Source organism: Homo sapiens, chromosome 8, assembly GCF_000001405.40.
Source record: "Homo sapiens chromosome 8, GRCh38.p14 Primary Assembly".
Classification (NCBI taxonomy): Eukaryota; Metazoa; Chordata; class Mammalia; order Primates; family Hominidae; genus Homo; species Homo sapiens.
Genome location: NC_000008.11, coordinates 144,929,074 through 144,952,818, shown reverse-complemented (window position 1 = coordinate 144,952,818; position 23,745 = coordinate 144,929,074). Strand labels below are relative to the sequence as shown.

The following is a 23,745-nucleotide window of genomic DNA, read 5'->3' as shown; positions in this document are numbered from 1 at the left end:
TTCCACACTGCTTGTGGGAATGTAAACTAGTACAACCACTATGGAAAACAGTGTGGAGAATCCTTAAAGAACTAAAAGTAGAACTACCAAGAAATACCATTTCGTCCAGCAATCCCACTACTGGGTATCTACCCAGAGGAAAAGAAGTCATTATACGAAAAAGATACTTGTATATGCACGTTTATGGCAGCACAATTCACAACTGCAAAAATGTGGAAGCAGCCCAAATGCCCATCAATCAACGAGTGGATAAACAAACTGTAGCATATATATATTTATATATATATGTGTGTGTGTATATATGTGTGTATATATGTATATATCTATACATATATAGAGAGTAGTATTCCATCATACATATATATATGATGGAATACTACTCAGCCATAAAAAGGAGTGAATTAATGGCATTCACAGCAACCTGGATGGGATTGGAGACTATTATTCTCAGTGAAGTAACTCAGGAATGGAAAACCAAACATCGTATGTCCTCACTCGTGAGAGGTAGCTAAGCTATGAGGATGCAAATGCATAAGAAGGATACAATGGACTTTGGGGACTGGGACTCAGGGGGAAAGTGCAGGAAGGGCGTGAAGGATAAAAGACTACAAATTGGGTTCAAGGCATACCGCCCAGGTGACGGGTGCACCAAAATCTCACAAATCACCACTAAAGAACTTACTCATGTAACCAAACACCACCACCTATGGAAATAAAAATTTAAAAACCTATGGAAATAAAAAAATTAAAAATAAATAAAAAAATAAACATAAGTTCCAATTTCAGGCCATCTCTTTGTGAATGCATATGACTGTACACTTTCAGAAAAAGGTATGTCACATCTTGAATGCTTTGCTGCTTAGAAATTTCTTCTGCCAGATGCCCTAAATCATCTCTCTCAAGCTCAAAGTTCCACAGATCTCTAGGGTAGGGCCAAAATGTCACCAATCTCTTTGCTAAAGCATAGCAAGAGTGACCTTTACTCCAGCTTCCAATAAGTTCCTCATCTCCAACTGAGAGCACCTCAGCCTGAACTAAAAAAAAAAGGGGGGGGGGTTATCTAGACAGTGTTTCTTAAATTCCAATAGAGTTTGTCATGCATTTTTTATTATGTATTCCTGATTTTGATAGTTTAATCTGCCTGCAAAATGAACGTCAAAATATTTGTGAGGTTTTTTTTGGTTGTTGTTGTTTGTTTCTTTTTTTTGAGACAGGGTCTCACTCTCTCATCAGTGCAACATGTGATCCCGGCTCACTGCAGCCGCACATTCCCCGGCTCAAGCAATCCGCCCACCTCAGCCTCCTGAGTAGCTGGGACTACAGGCGCACACCATCACACCTGGCTAACTTTTGTATTTTTTGTAGAGATGGAGTCTCCCTATATTGCCCAGGCTGGTCTCAAACTCCTAGCCTCAAGCCATCCGCCCGCCTCGGCCTCCCAAGTGCTGGAATTACAGGCGTGGGCCACCGCACCCAGCCTTATTTGTATTCTTTATGTCCAAGTGTACAATTCATTTCCGTATTAGAAACGATCCATGCACAATCTCACGAAAACATGTTATCTACTGAAGGAATCTGAATTCTTCCATTTATCTATCTAATCACTTACTGATTGAATGATTCAGTTCTTCCAAAAAACGTATCCTTAGGTTTTTATCAAACTACCGTCTGTTCCGATTCTGGGGGCCTGTATATTAAAATCTCCCACTACACGAGTATATCTCATTATCTCTGCATTTCTATTAGTGTCCCCTTTTCTTCAGTTGCCGCCTTGTTCAGTGCACGGGTCAACTCTGAAAAAAAGGGGAACAGAAGGGTCTCTGGCCTCAGGGCTAGTGGGACCAGGTCTGGGGCTGAACCACAGAGTCGCCCCGGCCTCCCGCCATCTAGAGAGGCTACGCTGCCCCAGATAGAACGAGCGGCGGGCCGGAATTCGGGGCGGGACTTCCGGGGGTCAGCCGGCGTTGGCTGAGACGTCTTCGTGCCACGGTGCTGCCTCCTTTCCAAGCGCGACCCGTTGAGGTTAGTTCCGCGAAGCTCCACGCCTGGGACCCTGCGTCTGGTTGTCCCTGATGCCCCCGTGGTTGGGGGGCCCAGGGGCCTCTCAGGGCTCAGACGGGGCGGGCAGCGAGCTGGGGACCCCGGGCGGGGGCGGAGCCGCGCGGGGGGTTGTGGGAGCGCGGGGGGGGCGGGGCGGGGGCAGCTCGGCCTGGGCTGGAGGTCAGAGCCTCTGGGGGCTGCCTCCGGTAGGGGGTCTCCGGGGAGACCCCGGGGTAAGGTCGCCGCGAGGGGCCGAGCCAGGACTCCGCCCACAGGCTGGTGGCGTTCCCGCCTGTCGGTGCCACCATTCGAGCTCGGGCGGAGCGACGGGGTGAAGGGGTGGCCTGCCCTTCCACACCTGTGGGATATCTCATCAGGTGGGACGAGAGACTGAGAAAAGAAATAAGACAAAGTGTAGAGAAACAACAGTGGGCCCAGGAGACCGGCACTCGGCACACTAAGGACCTGCACCGGCACCGGTCTCTGAGTTCTCTTAGTTTTTATTGATTATTATTTTCATTATCTCAGCAAGAGGAATGCAGTAGGAGAGCAGGGTGATAATAGGGAGAAGGTCAGCAAAAAAAAGCATGTGAGCAAAAGAATCTGTGCCATAATTAAGTTTAAGGGGAGGTACTATGCCTGGATGGGCACGTAGGCCAGATTTGTTTCTCTCCACCCAAACATCTCAGTGGAGTAAAGAATAACAAGGCAGCATTGCTGCCAACATGTCTCACCTCTCACCATAGGGCAGTTTTTCTCCTGTCTCAGAATTGAACAAATGTACAATCGGGTTTTATACCGAGACATTCAGTTCCCAGGGGCAGGCAGGAGAGAGTGGCCTTCCTCTATCTCAACTGCAAGAGGCTTTTCTCTTTTACCAATCCACCTCAACACAGACCCTTTACGGGCGTTGGGCTGGGGGACGGTCAGGTCTTTCTCATCCCATGAGGCCATATTTCAGACTATCACATGGGGACAAATCTTGGACAATACCCGGCTTTCCAAGGCAGAAGTCCCTGTGGCTTATCGCAGAGCATTGTGCCCCTGGTTTATTGAGACTGGAGAATGGCGATGACTTTTACCAAGCATCTGCTTGTAAACATTTTGTTAACAAGGCACATCCTGCACAGCCCTAGATCCCTTAAACCTTGATTCCATACAACACATGTTTTTGTGAGCTCAAAGTTGTGGCAAAGTGGCTGGGGCAAAGTTACAAATTAACAGCATCTCAGCAAAGCAATTGTTCAAGGTACAGGTCAAAATGGAATTTCTTATGTCTTCCTTTTCTACACAGACACAGTAACAGTCTGATCTTTCTTTCTTTTCCCTACATGGGGCAGCAGTGCGATGGGGTGGTTCCCAGCGCATGGGAGACAAGGGTGGGTTCGTGGTTCCTGGTGTTCCATGAGAAGTCAGAGATGCACTGAGCAGAGCTGGGGGAGAAAGGGGGTTTCGCTCAGCCTCAGATGTCCTGCCTGGGAGGCCCAGTCAGTAGTGGAGTCGCTCTGCGTGTGGAGGAGGTACTCTGGGAAGGGAGGAGAGTTTGGGCCAGTTCTTCCCCAAGGGGGAAGGTGCTGAGGGATCGGCCAGGGCCCATCCTGTGGCTGCTTGCTATGGGAGGGTGGTGGCTGGCTCTTCCAGTTGTGTGACTCCTAAAGAGCAGGCTTAGCCTCTAGCCAGGAGACTCCACTTCCAAGCTTGTTCAGGCTGTTGGCCGAATCTGTTTTTCTTGAGGTTGGTCCTCAGAAGTGCTGGCTGCCAGCCTGAGTGATCCTTAGCTCTCCGAGGTCCTTCCATGTGGCCCTCAGATCTTTCTCAGGCTTTTAAGGGCTCATTTGATTAGATTGGGTCCACCAGGGTAATTCACGTCCATAACCTTAATTCCCTTTGCAAAGTCCTTTTTGGTATGTAGTGTAACATAAGCACAAGTTCCAGGGATTAGGATATGGACCTGGGTGAGAGGGGGCATTTATTCTGTGTCCTGGTAAGCAAGATCCCACACATAATGAAGTGAGAAAAATAAGGTGTGAAGCCATAGCATAGTTGGGTGTAATTTATCATTAAAAGGCAAACATATGTTTATATATTTGCTGTGTAAACCTAGATTAATCTGGAACGGTACACTAGAAACAAGGGAAACTGTGTGGATGTTTGGGGAATTTTTCACCATAAATCCTTTTTACCTTTTAAATTTTGAGGTGACTATGCCCCTATTCAGAAACAATGAGAATTTAAAGTATTTTTAAATAAAATGAACTAAATAAATATTGCAGATTATTACATCACCACTTGGATGGGGAGAGGTTTCCCTCGAGGAAACTGGGCATCTGCACTGTAAGGGCAGGCAGATGCAGTCACAGAGGGCCTTGTCACCCCCATCGCCCATGTCTCCTCCATTTCTGCTGCCACGTGGTAGGCACCTTAGTGCTGTACCTGCTTTGAATCTCATCTCCCACCATTCCTCTGAGCACCCTGCCAAGTTAATCTTGAGATATTAGTTTTGTCTCTCCTGACACAGAAATGTGGCCAGTGTTTCACCTTCATCTGGCAGCCAAGGCCCCTTATCATTGGTCCATAGTAACCATCCCTGTGAGCTCTGTTCATATCTCCTTGCCTTCTCCTTGATGGTGATCTGAGTCCAGGAGCACCACCCAGCCCTTCTTTCTTCCCCACATGGCCTATGGGTGACACGTACCATCACGTTGACTCCCTGCACCATCCTTCTGCCACCTTTCTTCACATCCCCTTTGCAGATCCCCTTGACCACACCCTCATTCTCAGCTGGTGCTCATGAAGGACAGAAGAGTCAATGTCAGTACAATGTGAGTGAAGGGCTGAGGTATGTCAGTGCTCCCAGTGGGCACCCGGGCAGGGTATGGTGCATTTACACAGTGAGGGGTGGGGGAATCAGTAACATGTGAGGAGCCCGTCATGCCGCCACGTGGGAGTGTCCTCTCTCCTGCTCACAGGGAGTAGTTAGGACTGGAGATGAGCCCAAGTTTGTGAATCTTAACAAGGGTGTTGATGCCTCAAGACTGGACATAATCACCAAGGAAGTTGGTGGCAGTGCAGAAGTGCACACTGGGGTGCCAACATGAAATGGGGAATGAGAGGCTAGGAGGGAGTAGCTGGTGCAAGTAAAGATGGGAACACCTGCTGTGGGTGCTGCCAGGATGGTGCAACTCAGATAGAACTGACCACTAGGATTTGGTAGGCGTTGACACATAATGATGACATGTGGGGCTGCAGCACAGGCTGCCCCTGGCTGTTCACCCTTTGGAGCTGCTGTTCTCCCACTCTAGGTGGGTCTGGCCTGCCCAGCTTCAGAGCATTGTGAATGTCAGCAACAAGGAGTGAGAAGAGTGGTCACAGCAGGATACAGGCCCACAGCAGGATACAGGCCCACAGCAGGATACAGGCCCCACAACAGGACACAGGCCCACAGCAGGATACAGGCCCGCAGCAGGGTACAGGCCCGCAGCAGGGTACAGGCCCCACAGCAGGGTACAGGCCCCACAGCAGGACACAGGCCCCACAGCAGGACACAAGCCCAACAGCAGGACACAAGCCCAACAGCAGGACACAGGCCCACAGCAGGACACAGGCCCACAGCAGGGTACAGGCCCACAGAAGGGTATGGCCCACAGCAGGGTACAGGCCCCACAGCAGGACACAGGCCCACAGCAGGGTATGGCCCACAGTAGGGTACAGGCCCACAGCAGGACACAGGCCCAACAGCAGGACACAGGCCCAACAGCAGGATACAGGCCCACAGCAGGACACAGCCCCACAGCAGGACACAGGCCCACAGCAGGACACAGGCCCACAGCAGGGTACAGGCCCACAGAAGGGTATGGCCCACAGCAGGGTACAGGCCCCACAGCAGGACACAGGCCCCACAGCAGGACACAAGCCCAACAGCAGGACACAGGCCCAACAGCAGGATACAGGCCCACAGCAGGACACAGCCCCACAGCAGGACACAGGCCCACAGCAGGACACAGGCCCACAGCAGGGTACAGGCCCACAGAAGGGTATGGCCCACAGCAGGGTACGGGCCCCACAGCAGGACACGGGCCCACAGCAGGGTATGGCCCACAGTAGGGTACAGGCCCACAGTAGGACACAGGCCCAACAGCAGGACACAGGCCCAACAGCAGGACACAAGCCCAACAGCAGGATACAGACCCACAGCAGGACACAGGCCCACAGCAGGGTACAGGCCCCACAGCAGTACACAGGCCCCACAGCAGGACACAGACCCTGTGGGGGCTGCCCTCCTATCATGGCAGGTCTGGGCACCATGACCCACTTTACCTTAGGGTCAGCATCTTGCCCCTTTGTACTGTGGCCCTGGCTTTTGAGTCTGTGTCTCCATGGCTGACTCCCTCTTTTTAGGTCCAAGATCAGGAAACACAGCATCAGCCCCTGAGACCTGGCAGCACCAGGCCCTCTTCAGGTCTTGGGCTGCAGGGGTGGAGGAAGAGACCCCGGCCTGATGGGAGGATGAATCCCTAGAGCTAGCCTGTCTGTAGACTCACCTGTGTTCTTGCCGGTTTTCAGGTCCTTGTCATGCCCAGCCTCAGAACTCGCCGTGAGGAGGCAGAGATGGAGCTCTCAGTTCCAGGACCATCCCCCTGGACCCCTGCAGCCCAGGCCCGTGTGAGAGATGCTCCTGCTGTGACCCACCCTGGATCTGCAGCCTGTGGTACCCCCTGCTGTAGTGATACTGAGCTGGAAGCCATCTGCCCTCACTATCAGCAGCCAGGTACTTTAAGAACAGTTCTCCGCTGGTGCCCTTATTCTGGGGAAGTGATGTCCATGGAACCCTGTGCTTACCCCTAGGAGGCATCTGTGTCATCACAGGTAGGGAGGGTGACGGGGTACTCTGACTCAAGGAGCCAAGGCTGGATGTCAGCAAGGAAGTTAACCTAGCCTGGCCCCTGGCACCTTGAGCAGAACTGTGATTTCCCCACTTGACACGAAGAGGTATGACATGATGGCCACCAGCGTCCTTTGATTTGCCCTATACTCCTGACCCCTTCCCAATTCAACAACCAGGCTGGTGGCAGCCCTCTCCCCTCAGGACTCTACTCTGGTCCAGGGCTTTGTACTGTGGTTACCCATACAGTTGGCCATCTAAAGCCTAGGAAGAAAAGCTGAGGAGTTTCTTGTGGGGAAATAGAGGCATTCAAAAGCACCCTTGGCCCGGGTGTGGTGGCTCATACCTATAATCTGAGCACTTTGAGAGGCCAAGGCAGGAGGATTGTATGAGGCCAGGAGTTCAGGACCAGCCAGTATAACATGGCAAGACCCTATCTCTACTAAAAAATTAAGAAAGGCTGGGTGTGATCACTCTCGCCTGTAATCCCAGCACTTTGGGAGGCCGAGGTGGGTGGATTGCTTGAGGCCAGGAGTTCGAGACAAGCATGGCTAACATGGTAAAACCCTGTCTCTACTAAAAGTACAAAAATTAGCCAGGTGTGGTGGCACATACCTGTAATTCCACCTACTTGGAAGGCTGAAGCACAAGAATTGCTTGAACCTGGTAGGCAAGGGTTGCAGTGAGCTAAGATCATGCCACTGCACTCTAGCCTGGGCAACTGGAGTGAGGCTCTGTCTCAGAAAAAAATACATAAATTTGAAAAAAAAAAAAGCACCTATATATTTTGGGGAATCCAGGAAGTCACATGCATGCGCAGGACTGGGTGTGTGCTCAGAAAAGACCTGTTAAGACCATAAGCTTTCTCAAGAACTCTGTCTAATCTCTAGGCTCAGTGAAGGCAGTCAACTCAGAAAGAGTTGTAAACAGCGTTTAAAAAGTACCCCAACACAGAGTCAATCCACAAAGACTGGGAGAAGTGTTTTGTGTTGGTTTTTCTCTTGATAAAATCTCTGTCAAAACACTGGTTGAACACAAGCTAAAGAAAAAGACTTCAGTGACTGTACTCGACAAAGAATAGTCTTTGCAAAAATAGTTTGGAAAAGTCACTAAATGAACATGTGACTCTAGTCTTCAACAATCAAAAACAGCAAAGCCTGGAGGGGGGATACCACATTTTAATATTCAGTTGTGCAGTTTTTAACAAAGCAAAAATCATGAAGCATATAACGAAGCAAAAAAATATGTCCCATTCAAAGGAAAAAAGTAAACTGACAAAAAGTGTCCTGGAGAAAGCACAGACATTGGACTTAAGTAGACAAAAACTTCAAATCAACTGCCTCAAATATGCTCAGAGAGGTGAAAGAAACCATAGAGAACTAGGCTGGGCATGGTGGCTCACACCTGTAACCCAGCACCACGGTGGCTCACACCTGTAACCCAGCACCACGGTGGCTCACGCCTGTAACCCAGCACCACGGTGGCTCACGCCTGTAACCCAGCACCACGGTGGCTCACGCCTGTAACCCAGCACCACGGTGGCTCATGCCTGTCATCCCAGCACTTTGGGAGGCTGAGGCAGGTGGATCACGAGGTCAGGAGATCAAGACCATCCTGGCTAACAAGGTGAAACCCCATCTCAACTAAAAATACAAAAAATTAGCTGGGCATGGTGGCAGGCACCTGTAGTCCCAGCTACTCTGAAGACTGAGGCAAGAGAATGGCATGAACCCAGGAGGCGGAGCTTGCAGTGAGCTGAGATCACACCACTGCACTCCAGCGTGGGTGACAGAGTGAGACTCCGTCTCAAGAAAAAAAAAAAGAAAAAAAGAAAAAAAAAAACCATAGAGAACTAAAAGAACCAGGAAAATGATGTGTGAACAAAATGAAAATATCAATAAGAAATACAAATTGTAAAAGAAACATAGAAAGTCTGGAACTAAAAAATGAAATGGAAATTTTGCTAGAGGGTTTCAGCAGTAGATTTGAGCAGGCAGAAAAATCGGCAACTTGAAGATAGGATAATTGAAATCATTCAGTCTGAGGAGAAAAAAGATCTAAGAAAAGTGAACTTAATGGCTGGGCGTTGTGGCTCACGCCTGTCATCCCAGCACTTTGGGAGGCCGAGGCAAGCAGATCACTTGAGGTCAGGAGATCGAGAGAATCTTGGCCAACGTGGTGAAACCCTGTCTCTACTAAAACTACAAAAATCAGCTAGGCGTGGTGATGCATGCCTGTAGTCCCAGCTACTCTGGAGGCTGAGGCAGGAGAATCGCTTGAACCCAGGAGGCGGAGGTTGCATTGAGCCGAAATCGTGCCACTGTACTCCAGCCTGGGTAATGGAGTGAGACTCTGTCTCAAAAAAAAAAGAAAAAAGAAAAGTGAACTTAATGGACCATGAGACACCATCAAGTAGACCAACGTGCATAGTAGGGATGTTCAAGAAGGAAAAGAATAGAGAAGGGGATGGAAAAAATATTTGAAGAAATAATGGCTGAGAGTATCCCCAATGTGATGAAAGACATGTCTACACACACAAGCAGTTCAACAAACTGAGTAGAGTCTATTTAAAGAGATCCACACCAGGTCTCTTTCTAATCAAATTGTTGAAATACAAGGAATCTTGAAAGCAGCAAGAGAGGAGACCTATCCCTGAACAAGGGGTTCTGGGTAAGATTTCTAGCCAGTTTTTCATCAGAACCCATGGAGGTCAGAAGGCAGTGGGACGGCTTAGTTAAACTGCTAAGAGGGGGAAAAAAACCTGTCAACTAAGAATTCTGTTATCTGGCAAAATTATTCTTCAAAATGAAGGAGAAATTAAAACATATCCAGGTAGATAAAAGCTGAGGAAGCTTGTTACAAATAGACTGCCCCACAAGGAATGCTTTTAAAGGGAGTCCTGAAGGTTGAAATGAAAGAACACTAGACAGGGACTCAAAGCCATACAAAAATAAAGACCTCCAGTAAAAGTAACTACATAGGTAAGTATAAAAGTTAGTATCCCTATATTTTGGTTTCTAAGTACACTTTGTATTAAGTTGGTGCAAAATTAATTGTGGTTTTTGCCATTACATATTTCCTAAGTGATCTAAAGAACAAATGCATAAAAGGTCTGCATTATAAGTCTATGTTTTTTACCCCACTATGTATAAAGGTGTAATCTGTGATGACAACAACATAAGGGGGGTAACATCTGTAGAGAAGCAGAGATTTTGTGTTACTGAGACTAAACTGGTATCAGTTGTTTTAGGATGTTAGAACGTTCATTGCAATCATCATGGTAATCAGTAAGAAAATATCTTAAAAATGGGCTTGACGCAGTGGCTCACACCTGTAATCCCAGCACTTTGGGAGGCCAAGGCAGGCAGATCACCTGAGGTCAGGAGTTCGAGACCAGCCTGGCCAACATGGTGAAACCCTGTCTCTACTAAAAATACAAAAATTAGCTGGGCATGGTGGTGGGCACCTGTAATCCCAGCTACTCAGGAGGCTGAAGCAGGAGAATTGCTTGAACCCAGGAGGCAGAGGTTGAACTCAGGCAGAGGCATGAGATTGTGCCACTGCATTCCAGCCTGGGTGACAGAGCAAAACTCCACTTCAAAAAAAAATCTTAAAAATGGGCCAGGCATGGTGGCTCATGCCTGTAATCCCAGCACTTTGGGAGGCCGAGGCGGGCAGATCACAAGGTCAGGAGATTGAGACCATCCCGGCTAACACAGTGAAACCCCGTCTCTACTAAAAATACAAAAAAATTAGCCAGGCAAGGTGGTGGGCACCTGTAGTCCCAGCTACTTGGGAGGCTGAGGCAGGAGAATGGCGTGAACCCGGGAGACGGAGCTTGCAATGAGCCAAGATCGCGCCACTGCACTCCAGCCTGGGAGACAGAGCGAGACTCCCTCTCAAAAAAAAAAAAAAAAAAATCTTAAAAATGGACACAAGAGGCCAGGCGCGGTGGCTCACGCCTGTAATCCCAGCACTTTGGGGGCTGAGGTGGGCAGATCATGAGGTCAGGAGATTGAGACCATCCTGGCCAACACAGTGAAACCCCATCTCTACTAAAAATACAAAAAATTAGCCGGGCACGATGGCACCCGCCTGTAGTCCCAGCTACTTGGGAGGCTGAGGCAGGAGAATCCCTTGAACCTGGGAGGCAGAGGTTGCAGTAAGCTGAGACCATGCCACTGCACTCCAGCCTGGGTGACAGCGAGACTGTCTCAAAAAAAAAAAAATGGACACAAGAAGTAAGGCAAGAATTAAAATGGTACACTACAAAAAAGGTAATACCTAAGAATACAGCAGTAGAGGAACTGAGGAACAAAAAGGTAAAAGATTTATCAAAAATAAATAAAATGGCAGAAGTCCTTCCTTTTCAGTAATTACATGTGAAGTCTCCAGTCAAAAGGCAAATATTGACAGAATGTGTAAGAAAACATGGTCCAACTATATGCCACAAGAGGCTTTAGATTCAAAGACACAATAAGTTTAAAGTGAAAGGTGGAAAAATATTCCATGCAGAGAATAACCAAAAGAGAGTTGGGGTGACTATACCAATATTAGACAAAATAGATGACAAATAAGGACAGTATGTATTTATAAAAGGGCAGAGTCATCAAGAAGATATGGCAATTATAAGCAGATACACATCAAAAAAAAGAGCTCCAAACTATCTGAAACAGACATAGACAGATTGGAAGGGAGAAATAGCTCTATAGTAATAGAGACTTCAGTACTCCACTTTGAAAAATGGATAGAACATCTAGACAGAAGATCACTAAGGAACTAGGGGATTTGAACAGCGTTACAACCCAACTAGACCTAATGGACGACCATCACTGTGGTCTAAATGTCCCCCCCAACCCCTCCCCTCTCCAGTCATATCTTGAAATCTAATCTGCAGTGTGTCGTTATTAAGAGGTGGGGCCTTTGGGAGGTGACTGGGCCATGAGAGCAGAGCCCTGTGAATGGGATTATCTCCTTATAAGAGGCCTGAGGGAGCTTGTTAGCTTCTTTTCTTGCCCTTCTACCATGTGAATACACATAGAAGGGAATACCTAGGAGGAACCAGCTCTCATCAGGCAGTGAATCCACTGGCACCTTGATCTTGAACTTCCCAGCCTCCAGAACTGTGAGCAATAAATTTCTGTTGTTTATAAATTACCCAGTCTAATGTATCTTGTTACAGTAGCCCAAATGGGCTAAGACAGAAGTATATAAAATACTCCATTCAGAAAAGAAGATATACATTCTTCTCAAGTGTACATGTAACACAAACCATATGTTAGACCACAAAACAAGTCTCAATAAATTTAAAAAGATTGGAATTACACAAAGTATCTTCTCTGACCAGCAACAGCGGGGAAACTGGAAAGTTTACAAATGTATAGAAATAAAACAACCAATGGATCAAAGATGAAATCAGACAGTTAGACAATACCTGCAGATGAATGAAAACACAACATACCAAAACTTATGGGATGCAGTGAAGGCAATGTCAAAAGGGAAATTTATAGCAATAAACACCCTTGTTGAAAAGGAAGAGAGAGGCCAGGTGTGATTGGGAGGCTGAGGTGGGTGGATCGCTTAAGCCCAGGAGTTCGAGACCAGCCTGGGCAACATGGTTGAGACCCCATCTCTACTAAGAATACAGAAAATTAGCTGGGCGTGGTTGCTTGTGCTTGTAGTCCTAGTTACTTGGGAGGCTGAGATAGGAAGATCACCTAAGCTTAGGAAGTTGAGGCTGCAGTGAGCTGAGATCATGCCACTGCATTCCAGCCTGAGCAATGAGAGTGAGACCCTGTCTCAAAAAAAAAGGAAAGAAAGATATAAGTCAGATTTAAAAGTATAAATCTTTTAAAGGACTATAAAAGAAGAGCAAATAAAATCCAAAGCTAGCAGCAGGAAGAAAAAAGAAGGATTAGAACAGTGTTAAATGAAATAGAGTAGAAAATAGAATCAACAAAATCAAACGTTGCTTTTGTGAAAAGATAAAGTTGATAAACCTTTACTTAGATTGATTAAATAAAAAAGACACAAATAACTAAAATCAGAAGTGGAAGTGGGAACATTACTAGTGACCTTACAAAAATAAAAAGAGAATATTGTGACTAATTGTACACCAACAAATTAGATAACCCAGATGAAAGGGACAAATCAATAGAAACACACAAATTCCTAAAACTGACTCAAGCATAGGTAGAAAATCAGAACAGACCTCTAACAGAGATTGAGTTAGTAATAAAAACTCCCAATAAAATAAAGTCCAGGACCACAATGGCTTTTTTTTTTTTTTTTTTTTTTTTTTGAGACGGAGTCTCGCTCTGTTCCTCAGGCTGGAGTGCAGTGGCACAATCTGAGTTCACTGTGACCTCTGCCTCCTGGGTTCAAGCAATTCTCCTGTCTCAGCCTCCTGAGTAGCTGGGACTACAGGCACGTGCCACTATGCCCAGCTAATTTTTTGTATTTTTAGTAGAGACCGTGTTCCCCAGGCTGGTCTCAAACTCCTGAGCTCAGGCAATCCACCCGCCTCGGCCTCCCAGAGTGCTAGGATTACAGACTGAGCAACCGTGCCTGGCCCACAATGGATTTAAAGGTGAATTTAATGAATTAATACCAAACCTTCGCAAACTCTTGCAAAGGAGGAGAGAACACTTTCTAATTCTACAAGGTCAACTTTACACTGATTCCAAAGCCAGATAAAGATATGGCTTGAAGACAAGAAAAGAAAATTACAAACCAATATCCTTTATGGCTAGAGATATAAAACTCCCAACAAAGAAATAGAAAACTGAATCCAATAGCATATGACCAAGTGGGATTTAACCCAGGATATAAGGGTGGTTCAACATAAGAAAACCTAGTGTTGTAATTCATCACATTAATAGAACGAAGGAGAAAAACTATGATCATCTCAATTTATGCAAATAAAACATTTGGCAAAATCTAACACTTTCACAGTTAAAAAAAAAAAGCATTCATAAAACTTGTAATAGAAGAGGACCTCCTGAACATGATAAAGGGCATTTGTGAAAACCCTCAAGCTGACATCATACACAGTAGTGAAGAACAAAACTCTTCCCCTAAGGTCAGTAACAAGACAAACATGCCACTCTGCAGCCTTGTATTGCAAGTTCTAACCAGAGCAGTTAGTCAAGAAAAAGAAATAAAAGACATCCAGTTGGGAAATGAAGTAAAATTCTTTTTCCATAAGATGTGAATCCGTATATATGAAATCCCAGAGAATCCACAAAAAAGCTATTAGAGGTAATAAACAAACCCAGCAAAGTTGCAGCAACTGATCAACACACAAAATCAGTTGTTTCTGTATACCAGCCATGAACAGTGTGAAAAGGAAATTAAGGAAGGAATTCCATATACAATAGCATCAATAGGGAAAATTAAAACCTAGGACTAAATTTGACCAAGGAGATTTAAGACTTGTCCACTGAAAACTGCAAAATATTGTGGAAAGGAATTAAAGAAATCACAAATAAATAGAAGGCATCATGTGTTCATGAATTGGAAGACAATATTAATCATCCAAACTACCTAGAGTGTTCTACAGATTCAATGCCATTCCTATCAAAATTACAATGGCCATTTTTTGCAGAAACAAAAGACGATCCTCAAATTCATATGAAGTTACAAAGAGCCCTGGGTAGCCAAAACAATCATGAAAAATAACGTCAGAGGACTTAGACTTTCCACTTTCAAAACTTGCTACAAAGCTGCAGTAATCAAAACAATGTGGTACTGGCACAAAGACATACAGACTAGTGGAATCAGATTGAGAGTCCAGAAATAAACGCATACATATGTGGCAGGTGGATTTTCAACAAGGGTACCAAGTCCTTTCAATCAATGAGAAAAGATAGCCCTTCTGCAAATGGTGCTGAGACAAGTAGATATCCAAATGTAAAAGAATGAAGTTGGGGCCGGATGTGGTGGCTCATGCCTGTAATCCCAGCACTTTGGGAGTCCAAGGTGAGAGGATCGCTTGAGGCCAGGAGTTTGAGACCAGCATGGGCAACATAGCAAGACTCTGTCTCTACAAAAAAATACAAAAAAAAAATAGCCAGTTGTGTTGGTGCCTACTCCAGGGGTGCTGAGGCAGGAGGATCACTTGAGCCCAACAGCTCAAGGCTACAGTCAGCTGTGATCACCACTGCACTCCAGCTTGAATAGCAAAGCAAGACCCTGTCCCAAAAAATGAGTGAAGGTGAACCCCTACCTTATGCCATATACAAAAATTAACTCCAAATAGATCAACAAGCTAAATATAAGAGCTAACAACTCTAAAATTCTTAGAAGAAAGTGTAGGGGTAAATCTTCCCAATCTTGGATTTGGCAGTGGATTCCTAGATATGGCACCAAAGCATGAGCAACAAAAGAAAAAAATAAATAAATTGGACTTCATCAAAATTTAAAACTTGAATATCAAAATATATTATCAAGAACGTGAAAAGAAGCCAGGTGTGGTGGCTCAGCCTGTTACCCAGCATTTTGGGAGGCCAAGGCAGGCAGATCACCTGATGTCAGGAGTTTGAGACCAGCCTGGCCAATATGGCGAAACCCCATCTCTACTAAAACTACAAAAATTAGCTGGGCATGGTGGCATGTGCCCGTAGTTCCAGCTACTCTGGAGGCTTTTGCTTGAACCCAGGAGGCAGAGGTTGCAGTGAGCCAAGATCGCACCAGTGTACTCCAGCCTGGATGACAGAGCAAGACTCTGTCTCAAAAAAAAAAAAAAAAAAAAAGAGAGAGAAAGAAAGTGAAAAAAGCATCCTGCAGAATGGGGGGAAATCTGCAAATCATATTTTTTATAAGGGTGTAGTATGTAGAATATATAAAGAAGTCTTACTTCTCAACAACAAAACACAAGCAACCCAATTTAAAAATGGGCAAAGGCTGGGCACGGTGGCTCACAACTGCAATCCCAGAACTTTGGGAGGCCAAGGCAGGTGGATCACTTGAGGTCAGGAGTTTAAGACCATGCTGGCCAACGTGATGAAACCCTGTCTCTACTAAAAATACAAAACTTAGCTGGGAGTGGTGGCATGCACCTGTAATCCCAGCTACTCAGGAGGCGGAGGTTGCATTGAGCCGAGATCATGCCACTGCACTCCAGCCTGGGTGACAGAGCAAGACTCTGTCTCATAAATAAATAAATAAATAAATAAATAAGGGGCAAAGAACTTGAATAAACATTTCTCCAAAGAAAACATATGAATGGCTAACAAGCAAAAGAAAAGATGCTTAACATCATTAGTCATTAGAGAAATGCAAATCAAAACCATAATGAGATTACTATTTCACATTCATTAGGATGTCTATAATCAAAAAAACAAAAGATAAAAGAGGATGTGGAGAAACTGGTATCCTCATACATCGCTGGCTGGAATGTAAAATGGCATAACTACTCTGAAAAATAATTTGGTGGTTCCTCAAAAGTTTGAACATAGTACTACTCCTAGATATATACTCAAGATAATTGAAGACACATACTCAAACAAGTACATGCATATCATGTTCACAGCAGTAGTATTCATGATAGCCAAAAGGTACAAACAGCCCAGATGTCTGTCAATGGATGAATGATTAATTGTGGTGTCTACATACAAATGAATATAATTTAGCCATGAAAAGGAAGCACTGTACCTGCTACACGCGGATAAACCTCTGAGATGTGCCGAGTGAAAGAAGCCAGACACAAAAGGTCACATACTATATAATTCCATTTGTACAAAATATCCAGAATAGGTAAATTCGTAGACACAGAATACAGATTAGTGGTTGCCAGGGCCTGGAGGGAGAGGAAGATGGGGATAAACTGCTTAATGGGTAAGAGGTTTTACTTTGGAGTGATGGGAATGTTTTGAAAATAGAGGTGGTGGTTGCATAACATTATAGATGTACTAAATGCCGCTGTTCGTTTTAGAATGATTTTATGTTATGTTAATTTCACCTCAGTAAATGTTTAAATCAAATGAAAACAACTTGCTGTAGGAGATGAAGAAGTAAGGAGCACCCCATCTGAGTGTGAGATGCCTCTGGGGTTTGTCCAACACACAGCCCAGCCGAGGCTCTGAGGGAGGTCGTGGTGCAGCCACTGATGCATCACAGCCACACGTGGCATTCACACAAGCATGGTTTATGACTTGGGTAATTATCCAAGCTGTTCCACAAACCTGGAGGTCACTCATCGTAAAAGTCTTTAATCATAAAGATGTGTTTCCTCTTCACAGAAGGTGTGTTTTGTTCTGGAAGGGCTCAGAGTCCTTGTCCTTTTTTCCAATTGGGTGTCAGAGTACAGTGCAAGCAACTGTATTTGCTTTCAAATCTTTTTCTTCACCTTTAAGCCCAAATTTTACTGACTTTTTAAAAAGATGTTCTTTGGCCGGGCATGGTGGCTCACACCTGTAATCCCAGCAGTCTGGGAGGCCGAGGCGGGTAGATCACCTGAGGTCAGGAGTTCGAGACCAGCCTGACCAACACAGAGAAACCCTGTCTCTACTAAAAATACAACAAAATTTAGCAGGGCATGGTGGCACATCCCTGTAATCCCAGCTACTCGGGAGGCTGAGGTAGGAGAATCACTTGAACCCAGGAGGCAGAGGTTGTGGTGAGCTGAGATGGCACCGTTGCACTCGAGCCTGGGCTATAAGAGCCAAACTCTGTCTCCAAAAAAAAAATTTTTCTTAAAGGAAAATAAAATTTTTTATTTTATATTTCCTTTCTGTAGAGGAACTCATTTTTTCCCCACAATTCTTATATTACAGAGAAGAATTACATTGAATTTAATCAGTCCAAAAAGTGATCTCTCACCCTTCTCACGTACAGAATTCACCTTTAGTTCCTGTCTCAATAAAAGACTTTGATCTATCTAAACAGTGGCTCGGGCTAGACAACCCGTTCCTCATGGTCGCCATCTCTTCATCCACACCAGTGACATCTCATCTCAGCCAGAGGTCACCAAATCCAGCTAGTGGGCTGGTTTTTATGTCCTGCAAGCTAAGAATGCTTTTGAGGTGTTTTTTAAGGGTTTTAAAAACAACAAAGAAGACCATATGACAGAGATCATACAGCCGTAATGTATGTATGATCCTCCTCTCTGACCCTTCACAGAAGTACCTTCCTGACTCCTGTCTGTGTTGTTGCCAGAGCCTTCTTCATCCTTCCTTGGGTCACTTCTCCACACAGCCAGAAGAGGGCAACGGTCTCCCAAGTCAGGGTCTTGGCAGGGGTGGAGGATGGGGGACAGCGAGTCCCAGGACATCTCTGTCAGGGCTGAAGACTTCTGTTCAGACCTCACCTGTCCCAGCAGCCCCCATTCCTCATTGCTCCTGGGAGCCCAGCAGCATGTAGATGCCACATTTCCCAGACACCCTCTGGAGCCAGGGCTGGGGCTTCTGACATGGAGAGCTGAAGCTCATGGGGGACATTGGGGAATCCCCTGCAGCCCATGTGGAGTGTATAACAGCAGGCCTGCCAAAGGGCAGCAGGGTGGTAAAGAAAGGCACCCACATCTGTGTGCTGGCACGTAGGGCAGCTCTGTGGGAGAGGAGAGGCCTGATCCCAGACTCCAGGAAGTAGGGAGCTGCAAGAGGGTGTTCTGGCTGAAAGTGGCACAGCACGATGTGTCTGCACCACAGGTGTCCAGTGACCCAACATGAAGTGTCACCAAGAGACACGTGGGTGCAGTGGGTAGAGGGGCAAGTCCCAGGAGGGTCATGGTGAGAGCTGGGCCGGTTTGGATCTTTGTTGACACCACAGCTCCTTGGGAACAGACAATTCCAGACTGGAGGTGGAAATGGAATGCTGTTATGGCAGATTCTGGAAGTCCCAGACAGGGAGAGGCAGGGAGGGAGCAGAGTGGACGCCGCAAGGTGGGAGGGGCATTGGAGGGGCATCCTTCACACCCACTCAGCACTACCGACTACAGCTAGACCAGAGGTCTTCCACTTTGGGGGATGCAGTCCTGTTTCAGGGAGTGATCCAGGCTGTGGGTGACAGCCAGGGTGGGGGCAAGGAAAGTAGGTGGGGTGCTGGCATTTATGATCAGGGAAGGGCTCTCCAGCAAGGCCTGTGCAAGGGAAGTGGGTAGCACGAGGGCCATGTGGAGAGTGCTCTGGGCAAGGCAGACCCAAAGGTGGACACATCTGCCCTGCTCAGAGTATAGCAGGAGCAGAGGTAGAGGTGGGGTCTAGGAGGGCCAGGAGGCACTGAGAGGATGTTTGAGTGCATGACAGTGCTGGGTCTGATGTCACCAGGCTGTGGGCAGGAGGGGAGGTTGGGGGCCAGGGAAGCTGCTCAGCATCCAGGTGGCAGTGTGGCCTGGGATGTCAGTTTGAATGAGAGACTCGTGACATCTTCATTTGAGTAAGGGACACAGGGACATGAGGGTTTCTTTGTTCTGCAGGTGTGAAAAGGGGAGAGGGAGATGCTGAAGCCTTTTCTGGCAGACACGGAGCTTTGTGTGCATTTCTGTCTGCGGAAAGATGACGCACATTGTTACGAGGCCAGAAGTCATCCGCAAACACCAGTCAGAATTGTGGGTTTTCAGAGGTACAGGTGGCTTTGACAGGACACAGCAGTCTCTAAAGGGTCCTCTGTTGAACAGGATGGAATCTGATGTTCCACACAGGTCCCTGCCGCACAGGAGTGGTTGAATGATGCCTCCATGCAACTCAACTTGCCAGGCCCTGAGAGCCAGCTGGGTTTCTTCTCTGTGTACAACGGGGTCTCTCTCCACACTAGTGACTCCTAAGACCAAGCTCAGTGCCATTAGCATGCACTGACAGAACTGGAGATAGGCTGGTAAGGCTCACACCTGGCAGTGTGGACAGAAAAAAGGGTGAAATATGTAACAGTGTAAGGAGTGGTGTGAGACGTTTTTCTGGTACAGGTGGGAGAAGTGAGAAGCACCTGGATTTGGGCTGCACTCTGAGGTAGAGCTGACAGGACTTGCCAGTGGTTTGGTGTGGGTGTCGAGGAAGAGGGGAGTCAAGGGACAGCCAGGATTTTGGCCTGAGCCAGAAGGTAGACCGCAGTAACGTTTGCTGAGATGTGGAGTCCCAGGGAGGGTGGGTCCGTGGTCATCAAGAGCTCTCACTCATCTGCAGCCCCATGCAGCCTAATCACCCAGTGCTCCTCCCACCCCTCCCTGATGCCCTCTGATCTGGACTGCCACCCCAGAGGATCCCCTGCTCCCCTTGCCTCCTCCACAGTTAGTGGGTGCAACTGTGACTGTCTATGTTCCTGCTCCTGCTGCAGCACTGCCTTCCAAGTGATATTCTATTTATTGTTTCAGATTGTGACACCAGGACTGAAGACAAGGAGTTTCTTCACAAGGAAGACATTCATGAAGATTTGGAATCACAGGCAGAAATATCAGAAAACTATGCTGGTGATGTTTCCCAGGTACCCGAGCTTGGAGATCTGTGTGATGATGTATCAGAAAGAGACTGGGGAGTCCCCGAAGGCAGGAGGCTGCCACAGTCCCTCTCCCAGGAGGGGGACTTCACACCAGCTGCCATGGGGCTCCTTAGGGGCCCCTTAGGGGAGAAAGATCTGGACTGTAATGGTTTTGACAGTCGCTTCAGTCTGAGCCCAAACCTGATGGCATGTCAGGAAATCCCTACAGAAGAGAGGCCACATCCATATGACATGGGTGGCCAGAGTTTCCAGCACAGTGTGGACCTAACTGGTCATGAGGGGGTTCCCACAGCTGAAAGTCCACTCATATGTAATGAGTGTGGGAAAACCTTCCAAGGAAATCCTGACCTTATTCAGCGTCAAATAGTCCACACTGGGGAGGCTTCCTTTATGTGTGATGATTGTGGGAAAACCTTCAGCCAGAACTCAGTTCTTAAAAACCGTCATCGATCTCATATGAGTGAGAAAGCTTACCAGTGCAGCGAATGTGGGAAAGCCTTCCGAGGGCACTCAGACTTTTCTAGGCATCAGAGTCACCACAGCAGTGAGAGGCCTTATATGTGTAATGAATGTGGAAAAGCCTTCAGCCAGAACTCGAGCCTTAAAAAGCACCAAAAGTCTCACATGAGTGAGAAGCCCTATGAATGCAATGAATGTGGGAAGGCTTTTAGGCGGAGCTCAAACCTCATCCAACATCAAAGAATCCATTCTGGGGAGAAACCGTATGTGTGCAGTGAGTGTGGGAAGGCCTTCAGGCGAAGCTCAAACCTCATCAAACACCACAGGACTCACACAGGAGAGAAGCCTTTTGAGTGTGGCGAGTGTGGGAAAGCCTTCAGCCAGAGTGCACACCTGAGGAAGCACCAGAGGGTCCACACTGGAGAGAAGCCTTATGAGTGTAATGATTGTGGCAAGCCCTTCAGTCGGGTCTCCAACCTCATTAAGCACCACAGGGTTCACACTGGAGAGAAGCCCTATAAGTGCAGTGACTGTGGGAAAGCATTTAGTCAGAGCTCCAGCCTTATTCAGCATCGGAGAATTCACACTGGAGAAAAGCCTCACGTGTGTAATGTATGTGGAAAAGCCTTTAGTTATAGCTCAGTGCTCCGAAAGCACCAGATCATCCACACGGGAGAGAAGCCGTACAGATGCAGTGTCTGTGGGAAGGCCTTCAGCCACAGCTCAGCCCTCATTCAGCACCAGGGCGTGCACACAGGCGACAAGCCCTACGCCTGCCACGAGTGTGGGAAGACCTTTGGTCGCAGCTCCAACCTCATCCTTCACCAGCGAGTCCACACTGGAGAGAAGCCCTATGAATGTACTGAATGTGGAAAAACCTTCAGCCAGAGCTCAACCCTCATTCAGCATCAGAGGATTCATAATGGGCTGAAGCCCCATGAATGTAACCAGTGTGGTAAAGCCTTCAACCGAAGCTCAAATCTCATTCACCACCAGAAAGTTCATACTGGGGAAAAACCCTACACCTGTGTTGAATGTGGTAAGGGCTTCAGCCAGAGCTCACACCTCATTCAGCATCAGATAATCCACACGGGCGAGCGCCCCTACAAATGCAGTGAGTGTGGGAAAGCCTTCAGTCAGCGTTCGGTCCTCATCCAGCACCAGAGGATTCACACTGGGGTGAAGCCCTATGACTGTGCTGCTTGTGGGAAAGCCTTCAGCCAGCGATCAAAGTTGATCAAACACCAGTTGATTCACACCAGGGAATAGGCTGTTGGGCTGGCAGGAGTGAAACCGAGCATAGTTTCCTCTCCAACTCCTCTTTGGCCATTGTCTCAGCCTCTGCCACTTCCCAGACCGAAAGCCTGGACTCAGCTCACTGCCTACATCCAGTGGCCACATAGCCTGGGACCCTCCTTTGAAACATCCTTTACAGGCTCCCTTCTCACTGCCACTGCTCTTGCCTCTTGTGATGTCTTGGGTTTGGGCTTGTTTTTACAGCTTGTGAACGGACTGCACGTTTGTTACAAGGGAGAAGATTATGGAGGCTGCATATTCATGAATAGAGTTTATTATTATAATGAAAAGTTACCAAAAAAGTAAAGTGACGTTTGGTTTGAGATAACCATAGTAGTTTGTTTGATTGGTAATGAGTTGTGTGGCGTGAATTCTTTGTCACTGGCTGTAATTGATATTTTAGGTAAGTCGAGAGTTTTTCAGGTCCAGTTGCTCTGTCATCTTCCCCAGAAGTGGTACCTACTCATCACCACCAATTCCCTGCCCTTCTTTGTCCCTCCTGTTCCAGAATTTGAACCCAAGGCTCCCCCGCCACCCTACTTTTCTTTATACAGATCTGCAATCTGAGGTCAGCTTTCTCCTCTCACTGGTCTGCTGTGACTTAGGCCCCCATATCCTGTTCTGGGCTGCTGCACAGTTCCACATGGCTGTTCCAGCTTCTAGTTTCTGGGCCACAGAGGAAGCTCTCTCCATGGACCTCATTTTCATGCCCATGAGCTTCCAGGCTGTTTTTTCCACCTAGTAAGTGCCCTGCCTTGAGGGCCTAGCTCACTTACCCCCATCCTTAGTTCTCAGAGCTGTGCTCCTGTTCCCTGAGCAAGGAGAAAGCCCAGATGCTGAGAGGCCCCTCCCTGCTGGCCAGCAGGTCTGGGGGTGTCAGGACACAGTTTCATGGAAAACCTAGCCCTGACCTGTTTTAGATAAAAGTTTTGTTGGAACACAGCTATGCCCATTTGTTTACAGATAGCTGTGGCAGCTTTTGTACCACAGAATTGAGCAGTTGTGATAGATCCCATATGGTGCACAAAGCCAAAGTATTTACTTCTGGTCCTTGATAGGAAAGTTTGCTGACCCTGCCTTAGGATGCTCCCTGTGACCTAAGTTGCCTCTTGGGACTCAAGAGTTCTTGCAGGAGTTAAAGTGTGTTTTGTGACCAAGGGACTATTCTGTACTGTGGAGTGGTTGGCTGTGTGCAGGTGGGTGATTGCTGCAGAGTTCCCACAGCCACAGAGCATCCATCCTCTTTACCACTCCCCAACACACAGTACGCCCTCTGGAGAGATGCAAGACCTAAGTGTTGACTGAGTTCTTACTGCAGTTAAGAGTTTTGTGAAGATTGAATAAAATGGTATGTGTAAGTGTTTTATTTTATTTTTTTGAGACGGAGTTTCGCTATGTCACCCAGGCTGGAGTGCAATGGCGCGATCTCAGCTCACTGCAACCTCCACCTTCCGGGTTCGAGTGATTCTCCTGCCTCAGCCTCCCAAGTAGCTGGGACTGCAGGCGCCCACCACCACACCCAACTACTTTTTGTATTTTTAGTAGAGACAGGATTTCACCATGTTGGCCAGGCTGGTCTCAATCTCTTGACCTCGTGATCCACCCGCCTCAGCCTTGCAAAGTGCTGGGATTACAGG

At 47.1% G+C, this 23,745-nt stretch overlaps 1 protein-coding gene across 6 annotated transcripts, besides 2 other annotated features; it reads left to right on the top strand.

Annotated features, from left to right (window-relative positions):
• Positions 1,810-1,879: an enhancer, noted in NCBI's record as "active region_28110". NCBI's record gives its function as "activates an Ori minimal core promoter by ATAC-STARR-seq in GM12878 lymphoblastoid cells {active_cell/tissue: GM12878}" and the evidence as "EXISTENCE:reporter gene assay evidence [ECO:0000049][PMID:35858748]".
• Positions 1,939-22,461, top strand: ZNF16 (zinc finger protein 16). 6 transcript variants are annotated; one of them, NM_001413564.1, is made up of 4 exons: positions 1,939-2,022; positions 4,794-4,862; positions 6,604-6,808; positions 20,229-22,461. In NM_001413564.1, exons 3-4 carry the CDS (start codon positions 6,613-6,615, stop codon positions 22,079-22,081), a joined length of 2,049 nt encoding a protein of 682 aa, NP_001400493.1. In that variant the 5' UTR covers positions 1,939-2,022; positions 4,794-4,862; positions 6,604-6,612; the 3' UTR covers positions 22,082-22,461. The 6 variants fall into 6 exon arrangements, with proteins under 6 accessions (NP_001400493.1, NP_001025147.2, NP_008889.2 ...); NM_001029976.3 differs by having other exon boundaries at positions 4,794-4,879; NM_001413566.1 differs by lacking the exon at positions 1,939-2,022 and adding an exon at positions 2,196-2,417.
• Positions 2,120-2,429: a silencer, noted in NCBI's record as "silent region_19717". NCBI's record gives its function as "represses an Ori minimal core promoter by ATAC-STARR-seq in GM12878 lymphoblastoid cells {active_cell/tissue: GM12878}" and the evidence as "EXISTENCE:reporter gene assay evidence [ECO:0000049][PMID:35858748]".
• Positions 22,462-23,745: the final 1,284 nt, after the last annotated feature.